General features: G+C 46.0%; 1 protein-coding gene across 30 annotated transcripts in view, besides 4 other annotated features; it reads left to right on the forward strand.

The window, feature by feature from the left end:
- ZNF331 (zinc finger protein 331) overlaps window positions 1-27161 on the forward strand; it is a 77035-nt gene that overhangs the window by 34028 nt on the left and 15846 nt on the right. For 5 of the 30 annotated variants that reach the window (XM_047439049.1, XM_047439057.1, XM_047439058.1 and 2 more), the window contains 2 exons: window positions 1954-2020; window positions 18583-18646. The gene's annotated coding sequence lies outside the window, so the exon portion shown is untranslated. Of the gene's footprint in view, window positions 1-44; window positions 1691-1953; window positions 2021-17236; window positions 17627-17977; window positions 18320-18582; window positions 18647-26500; window positions 26531-27161 lie in introns of those variants that run through there. The other 25 variants (XM_047439051.1, XM_011527078.4, NM_001317120.2 and 22 more) reach the window with 21 other exon arrangements.
- Window positions 611-1127: an enhancer, noted in NCBI's record as "H3K27ac hESC enhancer chr19:54041127-54041643 (GRCh37/hg19 assembly coordinates)". NCBI's record gives its function as "activates a minimal SCP1, AML or CMV promoter by ChIP-STARR-seq in primed H9 embryonic stem cells {active_cell/tissue: H9 hESC(primed)}" and the evidence as "EXISTENCE:reporter gene assay evidence [ECO:0000049][PMID:30033119]".
- Window positions 913-962: an enhancer, noted in NCBI's record as "active region_15069". NCBI's record gives its function as "activates an Ori minimal core promoter by ATAC-STARR-seq in GM12878 lymphoblastoid cells {active_cell/tissue: GM12878}" and the evidence as "EXISTENCE:reporter gene assay evidence [ECO:0000049][PMID:35858748]".
- Window positions 16582-16631: an enhancer, noted in NCBI's record as "active region_15070". NCBI's record gives its function as "activates an Ori minimal core promoter by ATAC-STARR-seq in GM12878 lymphoblastoid cells {active_cell/tissue: GM12878}" and the evidence as "EXISTENCE:reporter gene assay evidence [ECO:0000049][PMID:35858748]".
- Window positions 16702-16901: an enhancer, noted in NCBI's record as "active region_15071". NCBI's record gives its function as "activates an Ori minimal core promoter by ATAC-STARR-seq in GM12878 lymphoblastoid cells {active_cell/tissue: GM12878}" and the evidence as "EXISTENCE:reporter gene assay evidence [ECO:0000049][PMID:35858748]".

Here is a 27161-nt window from a genome sequence, read left to right on the forward strand (position 1 = left end):
ACTTGGAATGAGAGCGGGACTCACGGGGCATAACTGCTACCTGTACATTGTTTACAATGCAGCAAGCAAGGGACACCGAATAGCAGCTCCGGCAGCCTGTGCTAGCGGCCTGCAGAGAATTCCAGGTGACGCTCCAGAGGGGCTAGGAGAGGATACCCTTCTGAGGACAGCCATGGCTCGCCCGGCATCACCCCACTCAAGAGGCCAGACGGGGTCCCAGCTGGGGTGACACAGCTCCTTTCCCAGTCGGGAAGGGGCGTCTGCAGGGACCAGGAAGGGCTTAGCTTGGGGCTGCCCGCTCCGGCACCGACCTGGGACGCGCCCTGAGGCCCCTGCCTGGGACCGTCCCGGACTACATTTCCCAGAGACCATCCAGGAGTACGCCGTGCTGCATGCTGGAACACGGGGCTTGGGGCTCTGGTTTCCCCCGACGGCCCCGCGTCCTCTTCTAGCCTCACCCTCTCCCGAGGCCCCAGCGTTGGGGGACTACCGGGTGCGTCTGCGGCTTTGGGAGAGTGGGAGGAGGGAAAGGGATGGGAGGGGTGCACGCACACGTGTCAGTGTGTCCGCGTGTCAGCATCTGTGCAGGCGCACGTGTGTGTCGGGCTCTGTTGTGTCTGCACATGCGTGTCGGCATCTGTGCGTGCGCACACGCCCGTCAGGGTCTGTGTGCCCGCACAGGCACGTCAACAGCTGAGCACGCTATGTATCGGGGGTCTGTGTACGCTCACATACGTGTCGGGGTCTGGGTACGTGCACATACGTGTAGGGGTCTGTGTGCACATGCGTGTCGGGCTCTGCTGCTGTCTGCGCGCTGCGGCCGCTGGGTGCGCGTGCGCATGCGCGCTGGCCTCCAGGGGGTGGCGGGACCGAGTGTGTGACGCACTTGCGTGGGAGTACGAGGCTGACGCGGCGGCCCTGTCCCCGTAACTGTGACACGGGTGCACGCGAGCGTCATTGGGGGCGATGGGGGCCGTGCTGGGTGCGCGTTTGCACCAGTGACGCAGCCGCTGCATCTCCGCCAGTCCGCGCAGGTGAGATTGGTGCGCGTGGCTCCGAGGGGAGACGGGCACGGGGCTTCTGACGGTGACGCACTTGCTGGAGAGTGTGGGGTGACACAGCCGGGCTCTCCCCATAACTGGTGACCGGGGGTGCTCCAGAGGCTTTGGGTCAACGCAGCCCGTGCCTGTGAACCTCGGCGGTGCGTCCCTGGGACTCTGCTCCGTGAGGTGCGCTCTGGGGGTTGTGCGGGGGCAGCGGTCGGGACGGGTCTCCGTGGCCCACGGATGCACCTCTGCACCGTGTGGGGTGGTGGGGCCCGTAGCATGGCCGTGCTGGGCGTTAGTGGGTATGAGGGGCGCAGATGTGTCTCAGGACAGAGTGAGCTGTGGTGAGGCTGAGCTGTGCAGACTTGTGCTGGGATGGGTGATCGGGCCTTCTGGGTGACGCAGGTGTGTGTGACAACACAACCTGTAGCTTCAGCGTCTCTGTGCTGGGATGGATGATCGGGCCTTCTGAGTGATGCAGGTGTGTGTGACAGTGCAACTTGTAGCTCCAGCGTCTCTGCTGCTTCCCCTGCCTTCACCTCCTAACCAAGCGGTACCTGCCTGAGAACAAGGGCCGCGGAGGGACGTGAGCGCCTGAGCCTCGCCTGGAAATTCACCAGCAAGAAGGCAGAAACAGCCATGAGGTGACGCTTTCAGAGCCAGAAGTGCTGTGCATGCAGGCCACCTGAGTGACAGGGGACGGTGGCCTCAGGAGTAGAATTCCTCCTGTAGAGGGACAGGTCCCTGATGTGGGAGACAGGGAGGGGGGCAGCTCCACGCGTCATCATCTCAATCGCCACAGCGTGCTCTTCAGGAATCTCCCAGAAACTCCATCTCGGGGCCTCGTATTTCTCATTGGTTTTATTAGGTATGGCAGGTGTTACCCTTCCGGTTCTGTTTTCCCCAGGCCAGCATCCTTCAGAAAAAGCATCCCCGAGGAGGAAGACGAATCGTTAAACATCTGAAAGGGTCAGGTGAGTATCCTTTTTTTTTTATATTAAATGATATGTGTTTATAAGACTTAAGACCAAACATTAAAGGTAGATGACCAAGATTTGAGTCCTGTTTCTGCCTCTTAGCTTTTTGAGCCTTCTGAAGATAGGCTTGTGAGGAGGGTGAAATGCATTAACACGCATAAAACCCATAGACGCGCACCCCTGAGTGGGAGTGCACAGTGAGTGCTGCTGTTTTGTGCTAAGTCTGGATGTCTGTACATCAGGAGCAACGTACATATGAAGGTAACTGGGATGGGTGTTTGCAGGTTCACAAAATGAACCACAGCCTCAAATGGCCTAGAACTGTTATCCTTAACCTGAGGGCCTGCCTTTAACTCCACTTACAACTTTCCAAGGGACATTCTGTGTATATTTACTGTATGTGATTATCAGTGTTAGTGTATCTGTCCCCCACCACCACCACCCTAAGGAGATACTCTGTAATTTCATGGCATTAAGAAGGATGGACATGCCCCAAAGACATTTAGACCCATTGGTCTACAATCGAAGGCTGTGTACCTTGACCACAATTATTGTTCAGGATGGTGGAAATGGTTAAGTAATTATACCACGTTCATTTCATGGAATACTCTGCAGCTACAAAGAAGTAAGTTTAGTTATAACCGTAAGAAAGAAAAATGCACCTGACATAATATTAAACACTACTAATAGTTATTAACAATAGTAAATGAAGGAAATGCTTCAGTTGCCTACAAATTCCATTGAATAAGATTTTTGTAAATACCTTATCCAACATGACATTTTAGTATATTATTTAGGATTATTCATGAATCCTTCAAAAGAGAGGAGCCTGGCCACATTTATTGAGCGCATTTTTGTACCATACTCTATTGTGTTTTGCACACACTCCTTAATTTATTCTTACCTTAGTCTGTAACAAAGTACCATAGACCGGTGGCTGAAACCACAAACATTTATTGCTCACAGTTCTGGAGGCTGGAAGTCTGAGAAGAGGGTACCAGCATGGTCAGGTTCTGATGAGGGCCCTTTTCCAGGTTGGAGACTGTCACCATCTTGCTGTGTCCTCTCACGGAGGACATGTGTGTGCTTGGAGGCTCTTTGGCAGAGCTCTAGGAGGTGTGTGTGCTTGGAGGCTCTAGGAGATAGTCTTTTTTTTTCTGTAATTGAGATGGAGGCTTGCTCTGTTGCCCATGCTGGAGCGCAGTGGCACAATCTTGGCTCACTGCAACCTCCACCTCCCAGATTCAAGTGATTCTCCCGCCTCAGCCTCCCGAGTAGCTGGGATTACAGGCACATGTCACCATCCGCAGCTAATTTTTGTATTTTTAGTGGAAACAGGGTTTCTCCTTGTTGATCAGGCTGGTCTCGAACTCCTGACCTCAGGTGATTAATTAGCCGGCCTCAGCCTCCCAAAGTGCGGGATTACAGGTGTGAGCCACCGAGCCTGCCCTGTGGGAGGTATTTTATGTCCTTGCTTTTGCTGGCTTCTAGACACTGCCCCACATGCCTTGGTTTGTGACCCCTTCTTCCATCATCAAAGCTGCAAAGACAGGCCAAGTCCCTTTTCCATCACGTCACTCTGACCCTACTTCTTTCTGTTCATCTCACCCTCTTCTCATTTTGAGGACCCTGGTGATTACATTAGGCCCGCTGAGGTAACTCAGGATAATCTTCCCTATTTTAGTGTCAGCCCATTAGCAATTTTAGTCCGCCTGCAACCTTAATTCCCCTTTGCCATGTAAGGTAATATCATCATAGGTGCCAGCATTACCATATTGACATGTTTGAGAGAGGCAACGAGAGAACAATAATCATATTTCTTTTCTTTTTTTTTTTTTTGAGACAGAGTTTCGCTCTTGTTGCCCAGGCTGGAGTGCAATGGCGTGATCTCAGCTCGCCGTAACCTCTGCCTCCTGGGTTCAAGCAATTCCTGCCTCAGTCTCCTGAGTAGCTTGGATTACAGGCATGCGCCACCACACCCAGCTAATTTTGTATTTTTAGTAGAGACGGGGTTTCTCTTTTGTTGGTCAGGCTGGTCTCGAGCTCCCGACCTCAGGTGCTCTGCCTGCCTCGGCCTCCCAAAGTGCTGGGATTACAGGCGTGAGCCACCGTGCCCGGCCTATATTTCTTCTTTTATGTGTTTTTGTTTTGTTTTGTTTTGTTTTTTCCTTATAGACAAGGTTGTGTTCTGTTGCCCATGCTGGAGTGCAGTGGGTTGATAATAGTTCACAGCAGCCTCAATCTCCTGGGCTAAAGTGGTCTTCCCACCTCGGCCTCTCAAGTACCTGGGATTACAGGCACCAGCCACTGTACCCTGCTCCTATCTTGTTATATTTCTTATAATAGGATTAATGCAGGCCTGCTGGGGGCAAAGAAAGAAACAGTCCCTAAGGAGCCCTTAAAGAAGAATCTCCAAATTACCCATAATTGTACCATCCAGAGATAATCACTGATGAACATTTTAAATGGCCAGCACTTTGGGAGGCCAAAGCGGGATGATCACTTGAGGCCAGGAGTCTGAGACCAGCCTGGGCAACAGTGAGACTCCATCTCTACTAAAATAAAAAATTGAAAAAGATTAGCCAGGCATGGTGATGCATACCTATAGTTTCAGCTACTCAGAAGGCTGCTGTGGGAGGATCACTTGGGCTTAGGGGTTCCAGGCTGCAGTGAGCCATTGCACTCTAGCCTGGGCAACAAAGGGAGACAGTGTCTCAAAAAAAAAAACAAGAAAAAAACATCTGAAATGGTATTTATGTTTCTAGGCCTCTTCTTTGCCTCTAAGCATGTGTGTGTTTTGTTTTTGGAGTATTGAATCTTGCTAATTCATCATAAATGAGTCAGAGACTCCAAATCTTAATTTATAAAAGGAATCCAACCCAGCCATGAGTCGCATTACACCTGTGTGTGTGTTGGGAGGGGAAGGGCTATGCCAGTGATCTTTGCCTTGTTTTGAAATATCTCACATATTTCTACCTTGTAGGATTAGAAATCCATCATCTGAATCTAACCTATGGTAACAAATTTTCAAGAAAGACAGCCTTTTAGAATTAGATTATAGAATGTTAATGTTCCTTTCCCAGGACATCACAATAATCACCCATGAACACTAATCACTGGGTGCCTTGCAGATACGGACTTTCCATGTGACATTAGCAAGATTATTTGTACAAGTAACAAATATGGGCTGTATAAGTAACATTTCCAAGATAGAAAAAGAATTAGATGACAGTATCTCATATGTATCTCCCTTATCCCGTGGAACACAAAATTCAGCCTCTTGCTAATGTTCTCAACTTGGCATCTTCTCAGATTAGAGTCATTAAATTAGATTTTCTTATGCAGAACAATGTCTCTGTCCCCCTAGTTGCTGATGGAAAGGGAACATTTCCTCGTTATATTTCTTAGAATCTCTTTTGCTAATGTATTCATTTTGTTAAACAAAATGAATTTCATTCTTAACATCAGACTCTGAATGTTATTTTTGGTTAATATTGATTACGCAGACAGCGGGTTCAAGGAAGGCACTTTTGTTTTTCTTGAGACAGAGTTTCGCTCTGGTTGCCTAGGCTGGAGTGCAATGGCGCAATCGCGGCTCACCGCAACCTCTGCCTCCCGGGTTCAAGCGATTCTCCTGCTTCAGCCTCTTAAGTAGCTGAGATTACAGGCAAGTGCCACCACGCCCAGCTAATTTTGTATTTTTAGTAGAGACAGGGTTTTTCCATGTTGGTCAGGCTGGTCTTGAACTCCCGACCTCAGGTGATCCACCTGCCTCAGCCTCCGAAAGTGCTGGGATTACAGGCATGAGCCACCGCGCCCAGTGGCACATTTTACCATTAGAAAAAAAAGGAGGGGGCCAGGCATGGTGGCTCACACCTGTAATCCAAAGCACTTTGGCAGGCTGTGAGGCAGGAGGATCGCTTGAGCCCACAAGTTCAAGACCAACCTGGGCAACATGGTGAGACCCTGTCTCTATTATGAATTTTTTTATTTTTTTGAGACGGAGTCTCGCCCTGTCTCCCAGGCTGGAGTGTAATGGTGCAATCTTGGTTCACTGAACCTCCACCTTCCAGTTCAAGCAATCCTCCTGCCTCAACCTCCTGAGTAGCTGGGATTACAAGCGCGCACCACCATGCCCAGCTAGTTTTTTGTATCTTTAGTAGAGACGGGGTTTCACCACGTTGGCCAGGCTGGTCTCAAACTCCTGACCTCGTGATCCGATCCGCCTGCCTTGGCCTCCCAAAGTGCTGGGATTACAGGCATGAGCCACCACGCCCAGCCTTATTATGAATTTTTTAAAAATAAAAACTATAAAAAGAAAAACTTTTTTTAAAGAAAAAAAGCAAGGAGATTGGCCGACATGAGTTGGTCTTCAATAATAACAGGTAACTTCTATTACACAAATGTCACATATTATTGAGTGTTTTACATAGATTATCATACTTGCCAGTTGTAACAATCATACCATGTAGTACTTTTATTACATTTTATCAGTGACGAAACAGACACTATGAGGCTAACTGCCAGGGTTCAGATTCACATCTCTAAAGTCAGACCACACAACCTGTATTCTTAATTTCATCAAAACATCTCTGCCCAAATTATATACACCTTTTTAATCTACCTTCTTCACTTGGTAATTCATCATAAAAATTTTCTCAAGCCAGACGCGGTGGCTCATGGCTGTAATCCCAGCACTTTGGGAGGTCGAGGTGGGCAGATCACAAGGTCAGGAGATCGAGACCGTCCTGGCCACCATGGTGAAATCCCATCTCTACTAAAAATACAAAAATTGGCTGGGCGTGGTGGCATGCACCTGTAGTCCCAGCTACTCGGGAGGCTGAGGCAGGAGAATCGCTTGAACCCGGGAGGCGGAGGTTGCAGTGAGTTGAGATCACGCCACTGCACTCCAGCTTGGCCAGAGCAAGACTCCGTCTCAAAAAAAAAAAAAAATTCTCAATAAGAATCGATATTATTAGGCCGGGTGTGGTGGCTCATGCCTGTAATCCCAGCACTTTGGGAGGCCAAGGTGGGCGGATCACGAGGTCAGGAGATGGAGACCATCCTGGCTAACACGGTGAAACCCCATCTCTACTAAAAATACAAAAAATTAGCCGGGCGAGGTAGTGGGCACCTGTAGTCCCAGCTACTCGGGAGGCTGAGGCAGGAGAATGGCGTGAACCCAGGAGACAGAGCTTGCAGTGAGCCGAGATCACGCCACTGCACTCCAGCCTGGGCGACAGAGCAAGACTCCGTCTCAAAAAAAAAAAAAAAGAATCAATATTGTTAGTATTCCATGCCATCATATAGCAGACCATAATTTAACCCATCCTCTACTGTGAGATACTGCTATTTTTTTCGTTGTTGAAACTGTATTCTCTGGAAATCATAGATAAGATCAAGGAGGGAATCTGTGTCACTATCCTGGCTGTGATACTGTACTGCAGTTTTGTTTTTCTTTTTTTTGAGACGGAGTCTTTCTCTGTCACCCAGGCTGGAGTGCAGTGGCACAATCTCAGCTCACTGCAACCTCCACCTTCTGGGTTCAAGCAATTCTCCTGCCTCAGCCTCCTGAGTAGCGGGGATTACAGGCTCCCACCACCATAGCCAGCTAATTTTTGTATTTTTAGTAGAGACGGGGTTTCACCATGTTGGCCAGGCTGGTGTCGAATTTGTGATCTGCCTGCCTTGGCCTCCAAAAGTGCTGGGATTACAGGCATGAGCCACCATGCCCGGCCTGTACTGTAGTTTTATAAGGTATCACTACTGGTGTAAGTCAGGTTAAGGGTGCACTGGATCTCTCTGTATTATTATTTACAACTACATGTGAATCTACAGTTATCTCAGTTTTTTAGAAAAATAACTTACCTAGAAAAAAATTTTTCTTGATCGCTCTTTCACATACATTTATGTACTTCTGTTTTCTTGTCTTTCTAACTGTTTCCTCCTCCTGGACCCATAAATTCCACATGTGGAATTTTGAGTCAAAATTAGATGTTTGTTAAGGGCCCGCACTATGCCACACCCTGTGACGTTAGTACTTGGAATGAGAGCGTGACTAACGGGGCATAACTGCTGCCTGCACATTGTTTACAATCCAGCAAGCAAGGGGCACCGAACAGCAGCTCGGGCAGCCTGTGCTGTGGCCTGCAGAGAATTCCAGGTGACGCCCCAGAGGGCCTAGGAGAGGATACCCTTCTGAGAACAGCCGTGGCTCGCCCGGCATCACCCCACTCAAGAGGCCAGACGGGGTCCCAGCTGGGGTGACACAGCGCCAGTCACATCCACTCATGGACACTCAGTAGGCCACACTCCCGATCACCCAGCCACAGTCCTAGATCAGTCACTGACTCACAGTCTGCCACTTGTATTTCCATTGTCTCTGGGCTTCCTCTGCCTTCACCTTCCAACAGTGTGGTACCTGCCTGAGAGCAGCGGCCCCCAGTGGGACATGAGAGCCAGGACCCTGTCATTAACTGAACCAACACAAAGGGCACAGCCATTGTCATAGATAAGTGTTCAAGCCGGACGTGTTCTCCGTACCGGCTCCTGTGTCACAGTAACGGGAAGCCTCAGGAGTGGGAGTCCTTGTGGAGGGAGAGGTGACTAACTTGGTAGGTGAGTGTCGGGAGCATCACGTGTTCTAGAATCCAGTAAATACACGTTAGTCCCCAAGAACTCTGAAACTCACAAATGCCAGTGTCCTCTCCATTCGGATTGGTTTCGGCTGTGGCCTGGGGACAGGCGTGCCCTGGAGGGTATTTGCTAATGCAGCCTGTGCTCCAGAAAGACCCTAGGTTCTCATTCTTCCTTTCCCCTAGGCTGGCATCCTTCAGAAAAAGCATCCTGAGGGGGAAAAAAAAAAAAAAAAAAAAATTATTATTTAGGTTGGTGCAAAAGTAATTGCGGTTTTTGCCATTATGTCTAATGTCAATTGCTTTTGCACTGACCTAATATTATATATCTGAAAGTCGGCTCTCCACATGAGTTACCTTTTTTGTTCATTAAATGATTTGTGTTTATATGACTTAGGACTCTTTACTCTTTATGGCCCCAAATATCCTCCCTAATAGCAATTTATCCCAGTAATTCCTCCCCAGGGGATGTGGCAAGGGCCAGGCAGGTATATTCCTCTCTGTACCCCCTGGTTGACCAGCCCTCTCCTTTGAGTATCCACAAACCCATTTGTCAAATTGTTGACATCCTGCTGTGTGCTCTGGTTTTCTAAGATCTGATGGTATAGAAAAATCCCCCCTAAAAAAAAAAAAAACAACTCCCTCCTAGAGGTTCATGTTAGCGCGCTTTATTTTACAGTGTGCTTGGGTAAGGAGGGGATTCGTTTTTAGGTGGAGTCAAACACAGATATCTTTGGTCTTTTCCATGGGACTGATTTTTAGAGCACAAGAAAAGAGAAAGTTAGTTTGTTTAGTCTGTACCTGGCAAAGTTGTCAGTTTTGTGAGGCCTTTAAGAGCGGAGTTTGAGCTAATTTCTGTGTCATCAAAGGCAGAGATGTTTTTCAATATGCAGTAAATCGAAATTTGTTCTATTCACTTGGACTTCTTTGGGCGGACAGCTTCTGTTTTTCTTCAGTTCCCCGTTTGTGTGAACTGTGAGAAACCATATGGTTTAATGTTGAGTATGAGTTCTGGATCTAGGGCAGAGGTTGGCAGCTGTCTTCAATGGCAATTTGTGTATGTTTATGGTCTACAGAGGCTTTGATCTGTGTTTATACTGCAGATTAAATCAAGCTGATTAACATATCCCTCCCTCAACTCACTGATAATCATATTTGCAATGAGAACATTTAAATCTAGTCTCTTGGCATATTCAATATTATTCATTATATTTAGTCACCATGCTAGACAATAAATCTCCAGAAATTATTCCCACTTTATCTCCTTTAATCTTCTCATTCCCCATCACCCTCCCAGGCCCTGACGACCACCTCTCTTCTTCTGTGAGTTGGATTTTTTTTACACTCCACATGTAATGACATCATGCAGGATTTGTCTGTCTAGCTTATTTCACTTAGTACAATGTCCTCCAGATTTACCCATGTTGTCACAATAACAGGATTTCCTTCTTTATAAAGGCTGGATGGCATTGCATTGTGTTATCTCTACCACACTTTCTTTATTAATTCCTGATGAGTATGTAGGTTGATTCCTTATCTTGGCTACTGTGAATAATGCTACTGCAGTGAACACGGGAGCACAGGTATCGCCATGACATACTAATTTCATTTTCTTTGGATATATACCCAGAGTGGGATTGCTGCGTCATCTGATAGTTTTAGTTTTTTCAGGCATCTCCACGGTGTTTTCCATCATGGCTAATTTACATTCTAACCAACAGTGTATAAGGGTCCTCTTTTCCTCACAGCCTTGCCAACATGTTATTTTTTTTGTTTGTTTTTTAATAAAAGCCATTCTTACATGTATGAGGTGATATCTCATTGTGGTTTAACTTTTTGTTGCCCTGAATAATAGTAGTGATCCTGAGCAATTTTTCACAGACCTATAGCAATTTGTATGTGTTCTATCAAGAAATGGCTGTTCAAGTTTTCTGCCCATTTATTATCAGGGTTGTTTGGTTTTTTGCTGTTAAGTTGTTTGAGTTCTATGTTTTGTCATTTTTGTTTGTTTTTTTTTGTTTGTTTTCTAGACAGGGTCTTGCTCTGTCATCCAGGCTGGAGTGCAGTGGTGCAATGACAGTTCACTGCATCCTCCACCTCCTGGACCCAAGCAATCCTCCTACCTCAGCCTCCCAAGTAGCTGGGACTACAGGCACATGCCATCATGCCCGGCTAATTTTTCTTTTCTTTTCTTTTCTTTTTTTTTGAGATGGAGTCTCCCTCTGTCACCCAGGCTGGAGTGCAGTGGCGTGATCTCGGCTCACTGCAACCTCCGCCTCCCGGGTTCAAGCGATTCTCCTGCCTCAGCCTCCGAGTAGCTGGGATTACAGGCGCGTGCCACCACGCCCGGCTAATTTTTTTTTTGTATTTTTAGTAGAGACAGGGTTTCACCCTGTTAGCCAGGATGGTCTCGATCTCCTGACCTCATGATCCACTTGCCTCAGCCTCCCAAAGTGCTGGGATTACAGGTGTGAGCCACGGTGCCCGGCCAATGCCCGACTAATTTTTCAATTTTTTGTAGATATGGGGTCTCACCATGTTGCCCAGGCTGATCTTAAACTCCTGGGCTCAAGCAGTCCTCCCATCTCGGCCTTCCAAAGTTCTGGGATTACAGGTGTGAGCCACCATGCCAAGCCCTATTTTGGATATTAACCCCTTATCAGATATATGGTTTGAAATAGTCTCTCCCAATCCATAGGCTACCTTTTCATTTTGTTTCCTTTGCTGTGTGGGAGATTTTTAGTTTGATGTAGTCCCATTTGCTTATTTTTGCTTTTGTAGGATGATCTGGTGTGATAGCTAAAAACTCATTGCCAAGGGCGATGTGAAGGAGAATTTTCCCTATGTATTCTCCCAGTAGTTTTACAGTTTCTGGTCTTACTTTTTATGTCTTTAATCCATTTTGACTTCATTTTTCTTTTTTTCTTTTTCTTCTTTTTTTTTTTGAGACCAAGTCTCACTCTGTCACCCAGGCTGGAGTGCAGTGGCACGATCTCGGCTCACTGCAACCTCCACCTCCCAGGTTCAAGTGATTTCTCCTCCCTCAGCCTCCTCAGTAGCTGAGATTACAGGCTCCTGCCACCACACCTGGCTAATTTTTGTATTTTTAGTAGAGACGGAGTTTCCCCATGTTGGCCAGGCAGGTCTTAAACTCCTGACCTCAGGTGAGCCACCGCACCTGGCCTCATTTTTCTCTATGAAGTAAAATAAGGGTCCAGTTGCATTCTTCTGCATGCAAATATCCAGTTTTCCCAACAGCATTTATTTAAGAGATCGTCCTTTCCCCATTGTGTGATGTTGGCACCTTTGTCAAAGATCAGTTGACCATGAGTTTGGATTTGTTTCTGAGCTCTGTTCTTCCATTGTGTGTGTTTTCATGCCAGTATTATAACCGTAATAGGTCCGTTGCCCCATGAGCACAGCATGTCAATACAGCAGGTTGCAGCAAAGAAAGACGGTTTACTGTAAGGCTGCAGAACAAGGAGGTAGGATGAAAATGAAATCCGTCCTCCCAGGGAGTTTGGAGCTAGGGTTTTTAAGGGTTTTAAAGTGTGGAAATCACTGCTTAAAGAGTGCAGTGTGGAGTCATGAGACAGGAAGATGAAGAAACTATTCTCATGCTGATTCTGTTCCTCTGTGGTTGTCTTCAGACTGCTTGGCATCAGCTATTTCACTGGAATTTGGGACCTGAGAAACATCTTGTGCAATTCTTAAAAGCCTCATGATTCTAACGTTAGAAATCCTATGTATGGGAACAGTGGGGACTCTGTCTCAAAAAAAAAAAAAAAATTTTTTTTTAAAAATCTTTTCATATTGTTTTCCAGTCTGTATTTTATTTATTTTTTGCTCTAATCTTTATTATTTCCTTCCTTCCTATCTTTAGACTCCATTTGTTCATTTTCTGGTTCCTTGAAATGTTTGTTTGAGATCTTCCTTCTTTCGTGATATAAGTATTTACTGCTATAAACTTCCGGCTTAGAACTGCCTCTCTTGCCTTCTTTAAGATTTGAGGATGTTGTGTTTACATTTACGTTTGTCTCAAAATATTTTTACAGTTTCTTCCCTGGCCCATTGGTTGTTTAGCATCATGTCGATTAATATCCACATATTTTTTGATTTACCTAAATTTCTCCCGTTATTGATTTCCAGTTTTATGCCCTTGTGGTTGGAAAAGGTCATTCATATGATGTCAGTCATTGTAAATTTCTTAAGATTTGTATCATGTCCTAACATGATCTATCCTGGAGAATGTTTCCTGTGTACTTGAGAAGAATGTACATGCTGCCGCTATTAGAGAGATGGTGCAGAATACAACTGTTAGGTCCATTTGGTCTAAAGCGTAATTCAGGTCCAATGTTTACTTGTTGATTTTCTGTCCGAATGATCTTTCCTTTGTTGAAAGTAGGATTTGAAGTCCTCTTCTGTCATTGTATTAAAATCTAACCCTCCCTTGAGATTTCTTAATGTTTGCTTTATGTATTTAAGAGCTCCAATGCTGGATGCATACATATCTATAATTAATATATCATCTTGACTGATGGACTAATTTTATTATATAATGACATTCTTTGCCTCTCTTTACAGTTTTTGATTTAAAGTCTATTTTGTCTTTTTTTTTTTTTTTTTTTTTTTTTGAGTTAGAGTCTCGCTGTATCACCCATGCTGGAATGCATTGGCCCGATCTTGGCTCACTGCAACTTCCGCCTCCCAAGTTCAAGCGATTCTCCTGCCTCAGCCTCCCGAGTACCTGGGATTACAGGCTCCTGCCACCACGCCAGGCTAATTTTTGTGTTTTTAGTAGAGATGGGGTTTTGCCATGTTGGCCATACTGGTCTCAAACTCCTGACCTCAAGTGACCTGCCCACCTTGGCCTCCCAAAGTGCTAAGATTACAGGCGTGAGCCACCATGCCTGGCCGTTAATCTTTTTTTTTTTTTTTCTTTTTTTTTGAGACAGAGTCTTGCTCTGTCACCCAGTCTGGAGTGCAAGGTGCAATCTCGGCCCAACCTCCGCCTCCCGGGTTCAAGCTCTTCTCCTACCTCAGCCTCCTGAGTAGTGTGCACCACTATGCCTAGCTAATTATTGTATTTTTTAGTAGAGATGGGGTTTCACCATGTTGGTCAGGCTGGTGTCGAACTCCTGACTTCGTGATCCACCCACCTTGGCCTCCCAAAGTGCTGGGATTACAGGCTTGAGCCACTGCGCCTGGCCAATCATTTTTTAAAATTAGGACTCCCTTAACTTTCACTCCTTATAACGGGATTAATGCAGGCCAACTGCAAAAAAATTCAGTCCTCTAAGGAGTTCATAAAGAAGAATCTCAAAATTAATTACCCATAATTCCATCTAGAGATAATTACTGTTAATCATATTTGGTATATATGTTTATAGTCCTCCACTTCCCCTCTAAACATGTATGTGCTTTTGTTTCTGGAACATTAAATCCTTCTAATTGATAAAGTAAATGAATCAAAGACTTTCCAAATGGTAGTTTGTGAAAGGCATCCAGCCCAGCCACGGGTCACGTTATACCTGTGAGCATGTGGGGATGGGAGGGGTGTGCCAGTGATCTTTGTCTTGTTTTGGAAAACCTCTCATATATTTACACCTTATAGGAGTAGAGACACATCATCTGAAACTAATCCCATGGCAACAAATTATCAAAAAATATAGTGCACCCTTGGAATGAGTTCTGCATCTGTGGATTCAGCCACAGATCAAAAATATCCTTGGGAAAAAAAATAGGAGGTTTGCATCCTATTTTACAGATGCTAACATCTGTATTGAACATGTACAGACTTTTCTTCTCATTATTCTAAACCATACAGTATGAAAATTATTAGCATAGCATATAAGATAATTTATAAAGAATCTAGAATCTAAAATGTACAGGAGGATGTGGATAGGTTATATGCAGATACTATACCACTTTGTATAAGAGTCTGAAGCATTCGAGGATTTTGATATTCAGGGGGGTTCTGGAACAAATCTGGATACTGAGGGATGGCTCTACAGCCTTTCAGAATTAAATTTTCTATGATTTTAATGGTTCTTTCAAAGACCATGACAGTAATCACTGACGCCTGTTGCCTTACAAATCTGCTTGTACAAGTAACATTTCCATGATTATATGTACAAGTAAAAAATACCCACTATACAAATAACAAATCCAAGATCAGTGAAATTGAGTACGATGACAATTAAAATGGTTTGCATAAATGTCCTATAACACATGGAACACATGATTCATCCTCTTGCTAATGTTCCCAGTTTGGCATCTTCTAAGATCATATTATTTGAGCACAATTTTTGATGCAGAATCATCTCTCTGTTCCCCTACTCGCTTGTGAGAGGGAACATTTCCTCCTTATGTGTCTTAGAATATTTTTACCTAACATGCTTAAACAAAACAAATTTCATTCTTAACATCAGGCTCTGAAAGTTCCTTTTAGTTAGCATTTGCTATATTGACAGCTGGTTTGACAAGTACATATTTTAGCATAAGAAAAAAACAGCAGGCCGGGTGCAGTGGCCCTTGCTTGTAATCCCAGCACTTTGGGAGGCCAAGGAGGCAGATTGCTTGAGCTCAGGAGATCAAGGCCAGCCTGGGCAGCATAGCAAGACCCCGTCTCTACCAAAAAAAAAAGAAAAAAAATTACAAAAACTAGCCAGATGTGGTGGCGTGCACCTGTAGTCCCAGCTCTTGGGAGGCTAAGGTGGGAGGATGACTTGAGCCTAGGAGGCAGAGGTTGCAGTGTGGTTGAGATTGCACTACTGCTCTCCAGCCTGGGTGACAAAGCGAGACCCTGTTTCAAAAAAATTAAAAACAGCAGATGAGTTTCTTTTTTAAAACTGGATTCAGGATCAGTGTAATGTTACTGATCTTCAATAGTAACCACAAACTTAAAAAATCTTTACATATTGCCGTATGTATTAGATATTCTGATATTTAATAGCTGAGACAGTCATACCTTATAGTATTATTATCCCAATTTTACTAGTGAGGAAACAAGCAGTTAATAACTGTTAGAGCTCAGATTCACATTCTGAAAGTTATAGAAATTAAGAACATAGAGCCTATGTTCTTAATTTCACCAAAATATCTCCTCCCAAATTATACATACCCTTTCAAACCTACCTTCCTCTCTTAGTAATTAATGATACCGTCTTTCAATTTACATGAATCAGTATCACTATTAGTAAATGTATTTTATGCCATTATATAACAGACTAATTTATTTATTCTGTACTCTACTGTGATATTTTCCTCTATCTTCTGCAAGATTTTCATTTTTAAAAATTACTGTCTTGGCTGGGTGCAGTGGCTCATGCCTGTAATCCTGGCCTAGGCAACAAGAGTGAAACTCCATCTCAAAAAAAAAAAAAAAAAATTAGTGTCTTGAAATTTGCATAACATCAATGGATGATGTCATTGTGAATGTCCTGGCGGTGATATTATACTGTATACTATAATCACCAATTGGTGTAACCAGGTGAAAGATACATAGGCTTTCTCAGTATTATGTGTACAACTACCTAAGAATCTACGGTTGTATCAATTTAAAAGAAAAACTTTCCCACACAAGATAATCTCCAAACATCTTGGGCATACATGTGTGTACTACTCTAGCTATTTCCTTGGGATAAATTCTAAAAAGTGGGATTTTGAGTCAAAATGAGACTGTGGTTAAGTAGTACCTGCAACATCCTGTAGACCCTGTGACATTAGTACTTGGAATGAGAGCGGGACTAACTGGGCATAACTGCTGCCTGTACATTGTTTACAATCCAGCAAGCAAGGGACACCGAATAGCACCTCGGGCAGCCTGTGCTGGCGGCCTGCAGAGAATTCCAGGTGATGCTCCAGAGGGGCTAGGAGAGGATACCCTTCTGATGACAGCCATGGCTCACCCGGCATCACCCCACTCAGAGGCCAGACGGGCTCCCAGCTGGGGTGACACAGCCCCTCTCCCAGCCGGGAACGGGCGTCTGCAGGGAGCAAGATGGACTCAGTGTGGGGCTGCCTGCCTGGAACGCGCCCTGAGGCCCCTGCCTGGGACCGGCCCAGACTACGTTTCCCAGAGGCCCCCCAGGAACTTAAGGCGCTGCATGCTGGGACACGGGGCTTGGGGCTCTGGTTTCCCCAGACATCGCCCTCCTCAAGCCTCTCACCCCTTCCCGAAGCCCCTGTGTGTTTGGGCCTGAGTAGGGCATTCGCTTCCTAGGAGGAACCCAGGGGTGCGCGCCAAGCATGGGGGTAGGGGGACCGCCGAGTGCGCCTGTGGCTTCGGGAGAGGCCAAAGAAGGAAGGAGTGGGAAGGGCGCGCACGCGTGTCAGTGTGTGCATGTGTCAGCGTCTGTGCACGCGCACATGTGTGTCGGGGTCTGGTCGCACATGCGGATCAAGGTCTGGCCACACGCATGCGTTGGGGGTCTGTGTGCGCGTACACGTGCATGTCGCGGTCTGGGTGTACATGCGTGTCAGGATCTGTGTGCACGCACATGCGTGTCGGGCTCTGCTGCTGCCTGCGCGCTCCGGCCGCTGGGTGCGGGAGGCCCCTCCCGAGTCCGGGGTGCGCATGCGCGCTGGCCTCCATGGGTGGCGGGACCGACTGTGTGACGCACTTGCGTGGGAGTGCGAGGCTGACGCGGCGGCTCTATCTCCCGTAACTGTGACACGGGTGCACGCAAGCGTCATTGGGGGTGATGGGGGCCGTGCTCGGTGCGCTTCTGCACCGGTGACGCAACCGCTGTGTCTCCGCCAGTCCGCGCAGGTGAGATTGGCGCCCATGGCTCCAAGGGGAGACGGGCACGGAGCTTCTAGCGGTGACGCACTTGCTGGAGAGGGTGTGGGGTGACGCAGCCGGGCTCTCCCCATAACTAGGGCTGGGGTGCTCCCGAGGCTTTGGGGCGACGGAACCCGCACCTGTGAACCTCGGCAGTGCGTCCCCGGGACTCTGTTCTGTGAGGTGCGCTCTGGGGGATATGTGGGGGCGGCGATCAGGACGGGTCTCCGTGGCCCACGGATGTGCCTTTGCACTGTGTGGAGTGGCGGGGCCGGCAGCGTGGCCGTGCTGGGCGTTAGTGGGTATGAGGGGCGCAGATGTGTCTCAGGCCAGTGTGTGCTGTGGTGAGGCTGAGCCATCAGTGCAGGCTTGTGCTGGGATGGTTGGTCGGGCCTTCTGGGTGACGCAGGTGTGTGTGACAGCACAACCTGTAGCTCCAGCGTCTCTGTGCTGAGATGGGTGATCGGGCCTTCTGGGTGACGCAGGTGTGTGTGACAACACAACCTGTAGCTCCAGCTTCTGTGTGCTGGGATGGGTGATCGGGCCTTCTGGGTGACGCAGGTGTGTGTGACAGCACAACCTGTAGTTCCAGCGTCTCTGTGCTGAGATGGGTGATCGGGCCTTCTGGGTGACGCAGGTGTGTGTGACAACACAACCTGTAGCTCCAGCTTCTCTGTGCTGGGATGGATGATCGGGCCTTCTGGGTGACGCAGGTGTGTGTGACAGCACAACCTGTAGCTCCAGCGTCTCTGCTGCTTCCCCTGCCTTCACCTCCTAACCAAGCGGTACCTGCCTGAGAACAAGGGCCGCGGAAGGACGGGAGTGCCTGAGCCCTGCCAGGAAATTCACCAACAAGAAGGCAGAAACAGCCATGAGGTGACGCTTTCAGAGCTAGAAGTGCTCTCCACTCAGGGCGCCTGAGTGACAGGAGACGGTGGCCTCAGGAGTAGAATTCCTCCTGTAGAGGGACACGTCCCTGATGTGGGAGACAGGGAGAGGGGCAGCTCCACGCTTCATCATCTCAGTTACCACAGCGTGCTCTTCAGGAATCTCCCAGAAACTCCATCTCGGGGCCTCGTATTTCTCATTGGTTTTATTAGGTATGGCAGGTGTTACCCTTCTGGTTCTGTTTTCCCCAGGCCAGCATCCTTCAGAAAAAGCATCCCCGAGGAGGAAGACGAATCGTTAAACATCTTAGGTCAGGTGAGTATCTTTTTTTTTTTTTTAATTAAATCATATGTGTTTATGAGACTTAGTCGGCGGGCGCAGTGGCTCACGCCTGTAATCCCAGCACTTTGGGAGGCCGAGGTGGGCAAATCACAAGGTCTGGAGATCGAGACCATCCTGGCTAACACGGTGAAACCCCGTCTCTACTAAAAATACAAAAATTAGCCGGGAGTGGTGGTGGGCGCCTGTAGTCCCAGCTACTCGGGAGGCTGAGGCAGGAGAATGGCGGGAACCCGGGAGGCGGAGCTTGCAGTGAGCCGAGATCGCACCGCTTCACTCCAGCCTGGGCAACACAGCGAGACTCCATCTCAAAAAAAAAAAAAAAAAAAAGGAAATCCTATTGAATTAGACGTTTTGTAAATATCCTATCCAAGATGACGACTGATTATTCAGTGAAGGAAGAGAGGAGCCTGGTCACATTTATTAAGCACATATTCTCTGTACTAAACTGTCTCTTGTCTATTTTGCACACACCTCTTAATTCTTGTCTTAGTTGATTCAGTCTGTGATAACAAAGTACCATAGACTGTGTGACTAAAAGGGCAAACTTTTTTTTTTTAATTTTTTTTTTTTTTAGAGACAGGGTCTCACTATGTTACCCAGGCTGGTCTTGATCTCATGAGCTCAAGCTTTCCTCCCACCTTGGCCTCAAAAAGTGCTTGGATTACAGATGTGAGCCACCATGTTGGGCCTTTTTTATTGTTTTTGTTTTGTTTTGTTTTTGAGACAGGGTCTTACTCTGTCATCAAGGCTGGAGTGCGGTGGTGTGATCATAGCTCACTGCAACCTCAGCCCCCTGGGCTCAAGCAATCTTCCCACCCCAGCCTCCCAAGTAGCTGGGGCTACTGGTGTGTGCCACCACATGTGGCTGTATATTTTTATTTTTATTTTGAGACGGGGTCTCGCTTTGTCATCCAGGTTGGAGTGCAGTGGCACAATCTTGGCTCACTTCAACCTCTGCTTTCTGGGCTCAAGCAATCCTCCCACCTCAGCCTTCTGAGTAGCTGGGACTACAGGTGTGAGCCACCACACCTGGCTCTTTTTTTTTTTTTTTTTTTTTTTTTTTTGGTAGATACAATGTTTCACCATGTTGCCCAGGCTGGTCGTGAACTCCTGAGCTCAAGCAATCTGCTGCCTGCCTCGGCCTCCCAAAGTGCTGGGATTACAGGCGTGAGGCGCCACACCCAGCCAATTTTTTAATATTTTATAGAGACAGGGTCTTGCCATGTTGCCCAGGCTGGTATCAAACTCCTGAGCTCAAGCAATCCTCCCATTTCCACCTCCCAAAGTGCTGGGGTTACAGGCATCACCCACCGTGTCCGGCCACAGCAAGCATTTATTTCTTACAGTTCTGGGGGCTGGAAGCCTGAGACCAGGGTGCCAGTGCAAGCAGCTTCCGGTGAGGCCTTCTTCAAGGTTGCAGGCGACCACCCTCGTGCCATGGCCACACATGGTGAAAGGGAGCTGAGAGCTCTCTGGGATCGTTTTTATAAGACACTAATCCTATTCCTGAGCACTCCTCCCTCATGTCCTAATCACCTTCCAAAGGCCTCACGTCTTAATACCATCACATTGGGGAACAGAATTTCAATATAGGAATCTGGGGAGGAATAAAATACTTAGTTTTGTCAGGTATCTTCAGAGGCTATTTAGGTACAGTATTGTGCTCAGGGTCAGTGTGTACAAAACCAACTCATTTTTCTTCTCTCACACCACAACGATAATCAACACAGAAAACTTTGTGACTTGGCCGGGTGCGGTGGCCCACACTTGTAATCCCAGGACTTTAGGAGGCCGAGGCGGATAGATCACTTTGAGGCCAGGAGTTTGAAACCAGCCTGGCCAGCATGGCGTAACCCTGTCTCTACTAAAAATACAAAAATTAGCTGGGTGTGGTGGCGCATGCCTGTAATCCCAGCTACTCAGGAGGCTGAGGCAGGAGAATCGCTTGAACCTGGGAGGCTGTGAACCTGTGATGAGCTGAGATCACGCCACCACACTCCAGCCTAGGTGACAGAGCGAGACTCTGTCTCAGAAAAAAATAAGCTTTGTGACTAAATGTGTGGGGAGAAGCAAGCTGTAGTGGACATCAGCCGGATGTCCTGCAGTTCAGTTCTGACACCATCTACCTGGAGATGGCATCAGATTCCACAGGTTGTGAGCAAGACTGTCCCACTCTGCCCCACTAGCCACAAGACCAGGCCTCTGGGACATCTTGCCAACCCTCTACAGGTTGGGGTTCTTATACTCTTTGGCTTCTATTAGTGTATTTGATTGACTCAGAATTCAGGGAAACACATATACCAGTTTATTACAAAGGATATTTTAAAGGATACTAATGAACAGCCAGATGAAGAGATATGTAGGACTAGGGTTGGAAGAGTCCCAAGCACAGGAGCTTCTGTTCCCGTGGAATTGGGGTGCGCCACCTTTTCAGAGTTCTTTTGTACCTTCCTAGCAGCCACCTCCTGTTCAGCTGTCCAGAAGCTCTCCTCACCCTGTCTTCTTAGGCCTTTTATGGAGACTTCATTGGATAGGTGTGACTGAAGCATGCACGAATGTGTTGAAACGTGATTGGACAAATAAGAGTTGATTTAATGCTAATTGATTGAGTGGGGAAACTCAAGGCCCGTCTGTTCAGATTCTTCTTGGCCTCTCAGTGCAGCATTCCTTCCTACAGGTACAGGGCAGGACCCTCTCTGGAGTGAGAGTCCTGCTTTGGGCAGGTGAAAGGAGGGCAAGAGAAGATGAGAGAGAGATTCTGCTTCCCGAGGCCTGCTTCTGAGGCTGAAAGTGCCCTAATATTAAGATTTTACCAAGGGTTATGGAATTATGAGCCAGGAACCATGGACAAGAACATACAGACACACTCATACCCCATATATACACACATATAGGCACCTACATATATACACACCATACACACATATACACACACATACCCCATATATACACACATATACACACCTATACACACCTACATATATACACACACATACACACCATACACACATATACACATACCATATACACACCATACACACATATACACACACATACCCCATATATACACACATATACATACCTACATATAGAGACACATATATACACACCATACATATACAAACACACCCCGTATACACACATATACACACCTACATATAGAGACACATATATACACACCATACATACACACACACCCCATGTACACACACATATACACACCTACATATATACACACCATACATATACAAACACACCCCATGTACACACCTACATATAGAGACACATATATACACACCATACATACACACACCCCATGTACACACACATATACACAACTACATATATACATACCATACGTATACAAACACACCCCATGTACACACCTACATATAGAGACACACACATATACACACCATACACACATATACACACACACCCCATATATACACATACACACCTACATATATACACACATACACATCGTACACACACACCATATATACATATATACACACATATATACACACCATACACACATGCACACACCATATATATGCATATATACACACCTACATATATACACACATATACACACACGCCATATATACACACATATACACACCTACATATATACACACATATATACACATTCATACATGTACATACACACCCCATATATACACACATATACACACACATCCCATATATACACAGCTACATATATACACACATATAAAAACCATACACACATATACACACCCCATATATACACAGATATACACACCTACATATATACACATATACACCATACGCACATGCACACACATACCCATATATACATATATATATACACACACGTATATACATATATACACACCATAACACACGTATATACATATATACATATACACATATACATACCATACACACACGAGCATATACACACACATGCCATACACACACATATGTACACATACATACCCACACCATACACACATACATACACACCACACACACACATATACACCCCGTACACATATATACACACACCATATATACACACACATATACGCACACACACCCCATACACATGCATACCTCATATATACATATACACACCTACATATACATACCATACACACACATATATACACACATATACCCACACCATACACACACATATATACACACACCATATATATACACACATATATACACATCCACACCATATATACACACACCATACACACACATATATACACACACCATATATATACACACATATATACACATCCACACCATATATACACACACCATGCACCCACATATATACACACACCATATATATGCACATATATATATACACCCACACCATATACACACACATACACATATATAAACACCATATATATACAGACACATATACACACCCACAGATAGACACACATATACACAAACATACACACAATTATATCACAAGGTCTGATTGTATTACTGAGACACAGTGAAAGGATGTTCCATAACAGGAAGGTTATGCCTGATTCAGTGACACTACTTTTTCAATATTAGGCCTTATATCAGTTTATTTTTGCTGTTTTAACAAATTACTGTAGATTATTGGCGTCATACAACACAAATGTATTATCTTACTGTCATAGAGGTCAGAAGTCTGAAGTGGGTCTCACCGGGCTAAAACCAGGTTGTTGGAGGCTGTAGGAGATATTCTGTGTCCTTGCTTTTGCTGGCTTCTAGACGCCGCCCACACTCCTTAGTTCGTGACCCCTTCTTCCATCAGCAAAGCCTGAAAAGACAAGTCCTTTTTCCGTCACACCACTCTGACCCTCCTCCTCTAAGTTTAAGGACTCTGGTCATTACATTGCGCTTGCTTCTATAACTCAAGAGAATCTTCCGTATGTTAGAGGCAGCCGATTAGCCATTTTAAGTCCATCTGCAGCCTTAATTTTCCTTTGCCATACAAGGTAACATATTTGAAAGTACTGGAATTACCATAGAGACACATTTGAGAGGTGGGCAAAGTGGCAAGATCCCACCTCTACAAAAATACAAAAGTTAGCCAGGCGTGGTAATGTGCAACTGTGGTCCCAGCTACTAGGGACGCTGAGGTGGGAGGATCACTTGAACCCAGGAGATCGAAGCTGCAGTAAGCTGGGTTCACACCACTGTACTCCAGTGGCGACAGAGTGAGACCCTGTCGCAAAATATATGTGCACACATACACACATTTGAGAGGCAGGCCTATCCATTCAGAGTTTCCTTAATGACTACAGTGTGCCTGCTCCCCCATAACTATGTTTGTGTTTGGCATTTTCTTTTAATTTGGGACTATCTCAGTAAATTTCTTATATTATAATGGGATTAATGCAGGCCTGCTGGCCAAAAAAAAAAAAAAAAAACAAATTAGTCCCTGAGGAGCTCTTAGAGAAAACTCTCTAAATTACCCGTAATTGTGCGATCCACAGGTCATTACTGTTTCTGGTCCTCGTTTTTGTAATTAATGTTTCTAGTCCTCCTCTTTGCCCTTAAGCAGGTATGTGTTTTCTTTCTGGAGCTGGAATTTTGCTAATTAATCATGTGACTACTCCAGAGACTCTTTAAATCTAGTTTTAAATCTAATCTGTAGCAGCAAATTATCAAGAAAGCCTTTAAAATTAAAGATTCTAAGGTGGAATGATTGCTTGAGGCCAGGAGTTTGAGACCAACCTGAGCAACATAGTGAGACCTCATCTCTCCAAAAATTTAAAAAATTAGCCAGGCATGGTGGTGTGTGCCTATGGTCCTAGCTACTTAGGAAGCTGAAGTGGGAGGATCCCTTCAGCCCAAGAGGTTAAGGCTGCAATGAGCCGTGATCCCACCACTGCCCTCCAGCCTGGGTGAAAGAGTGAGACCATCTCAAAAAAAAACTAGAAGGCCGGGTGCAATGGCTTGTGCCTGTCATCCCAGCTCTTTGGGAGGCTGAGGCAGGTAGATCACCTGAGGTCAGGAGTTCGAAACCAGCCTGGCCAACATGGTGAAACGCCGTCTCTACAAAAAATACAAAAATTAGGCAGGCGTGGTGGCGCGCGCCTGTAATCCCAGGTACTTGGGAGGCTGAGGCAGGAGAATTGCTTGAACCTGGGAGGTGGAGGTTGCAGTGAGCCGAGATTGTGCCACAGCATTCCAGCCTGGATGGTAGAACAAGACTCTGTCTCAAAAAATAAGATAAAATAGCTAGAGATTCTAGAATTGTAATGTTTCTTTCCCAGAACATGACAGTAATCACTGATAAATTCTAAGTAATCATCAGGTGCCTTACAAATATGGACTTTCTGGGTAACATTAGCAAGGTTATAGATACAAGTAACAAAGACTGTGTAAGTAACATTTGCAAGATAAAATAATGAGGTGATAAGATGGCAATAGTTAAAAATGTTCACATGTATCTTCCATTTCACATAGAACACAAGATTCACGCCGGGTGCAGTGGCTTATGCCTGTCACCCCAGCACTTTGGGAGGCCAAAGCGGGTGGATCACCTGAGGTCAGGAGTTCGAGACCAGCCTGGCTAACATGGTGAAACCCCATCTCTACTAAAAATACAAAAACTAGCCAAGCATGGTGGCAAGCGCCTATAATCCCAGCTTCTTGGGAGGCTGAGGTAGGAGAATCACTTGAACCTGGGAGGTTGAGGTTGCAGTGAGCCAAGATCGCTCCACTGTACTCCAGCCTGGGCAACAAGAGCAAAATCCCATCTCAAAAAGAAAAAAAAAAACTCCGGGCACTGTGGCTCATGCCTGTAATCCCAACACTTTGGAAGGCCGAGGTGGGCAGATCACGAAGTCAGGAGTTCGAGACCATACTGGCCAACATGGTGAAACCCCATCTCTACTAAAAATACAAAAAATAGCCGGGCATGGTGACGCATGCCTGTAATCCCAGCTACTCAGGAGACTGAGGCAGGAGAATCGCTTGAACTCGGGAGGCAGAGGTTGCAGTGAGTCGAGATTGCGCCACTGCACTCCAGCCTCAGCAACAGAGTGAGACTGTCTCTTAAAAAAACAAAAAACAAAAAACCAGATTCACCCTCTTGCTAATGTTTGCAAGTTGGCATCTTCTCGAAATAGGTTCTGTAAGCTGGCTGGATTCCACACCCCCCCACCCCCCGTCCCCGAGAAGGAGTCTTGCTATGTCATCCAGGCTGGAGTGCAAGGGCGTGATCTCAGCTCACTGCAATCTCCGCCTCCCGGGTTCAAGCGATTCTCCTGCCTCAGCCTCCCAAGAAGCTGGTATTACAGGCTTGTACCACCACACTCAGCTAATTTTTGTATTTTTAGTAGAGATGGGGTTTCACCATGTTGGGCAGGCTGGTCTTGAACTCCTGACCTCGTAATCCACCCACCTCAGCCTCCCAAAGTACTGGGATTACAGGTGTGAGCCACCGCACCCAGCCAAGCTGGATTTTTTAATGCAGAATCATGTCTCTTTTCTCTACTTACTGGTGGAGAGGCAACATTTCCCTAAATGTGTCTTAGAATCTTTATTGCTAGTTTTGCTAATGAACAGAATTTCATTCTTCACACATTAAGCTCTGAAAATTGTTTTTAGTTTGCATTCATTATATTGGCAACTGGCTTGAGAAATATATTTTAATGTAAGTAAAAAAAAAAGCAGACTTGATTATTTTATAAAATTTGAGATGTGTAATGTTGATCTTCAATAATAACAGCTAATTTACATTAAATAATTGTTGTGTATTACTGCATGTTGTAGATAGATTATCTTAGTTAATAGTTCATGCAGTCATACCTTGTGGTATTTTTATTCCAGCTTTACCAGTGAGGAAACCGACACTGTGAGGTTAGTAATCATCAGAGCTCAGGTTTGCATCCTGAAAGACCACAGAGCTGCCAGGTGCGGTGGCAAAACCCATCTCTACTAAAAATACAAAAATTAGCCGGGCGTGGGCGCGCACCTGTAGTCCCAGCTACTCAGGAGGCTGAGGCAGGAGAATGGCTTGAACCCGGGAGGGAGAGGTTGCAGTGACCCGAGATCACACCGTTGCACTCCAGCCTGGCGACAGAGCGAGACTTCATCTCAAAAAAAAAAAAAAAAAAAAAAAAGAGCACAGAGCCTGCATTCTTTTTTTTTTTTTTTTTTTTTGAGACAGAGTCTCACTCTGTTGCCCAGGCTGCAATACAGTGGCTATTCACAGGTACCATCCCACTACTGATCAGCACAGGAGTTTTGACTGCCTCTATTTCTGACCTGGGCCAGTTCATCCAAGCCTGTGTCCTTAATTTCAGCAAAACATCTCTGTCCAGATTATACGTACCTTTTTATTTTATTTTATTTTATTTTTTTTGAGATGGAGTCTTCCCCTGTTGCCAAGACTGGAGTACAGTAGTGCGATCTCGGCTCACTGCAGCCTCTGCCTCCCGGGTCCCAGCGATTCTCCCGCCTCAGCCTCCCAAGAAGCTGGGATTACAGG

Source organism: Homo sapiens, chromosome 19 (assembly GCF_000001405.40).
Source record: "Homo sapiens chromosome 19, GRCh38.p14 Primary Assembly".
NCBI classification, from domain to species: domain Eukaryota; kingdom Metazoa; phylum Chordata; class Mammalia; order Primates; family Hominidae; genus Homo; species Homo sapiens.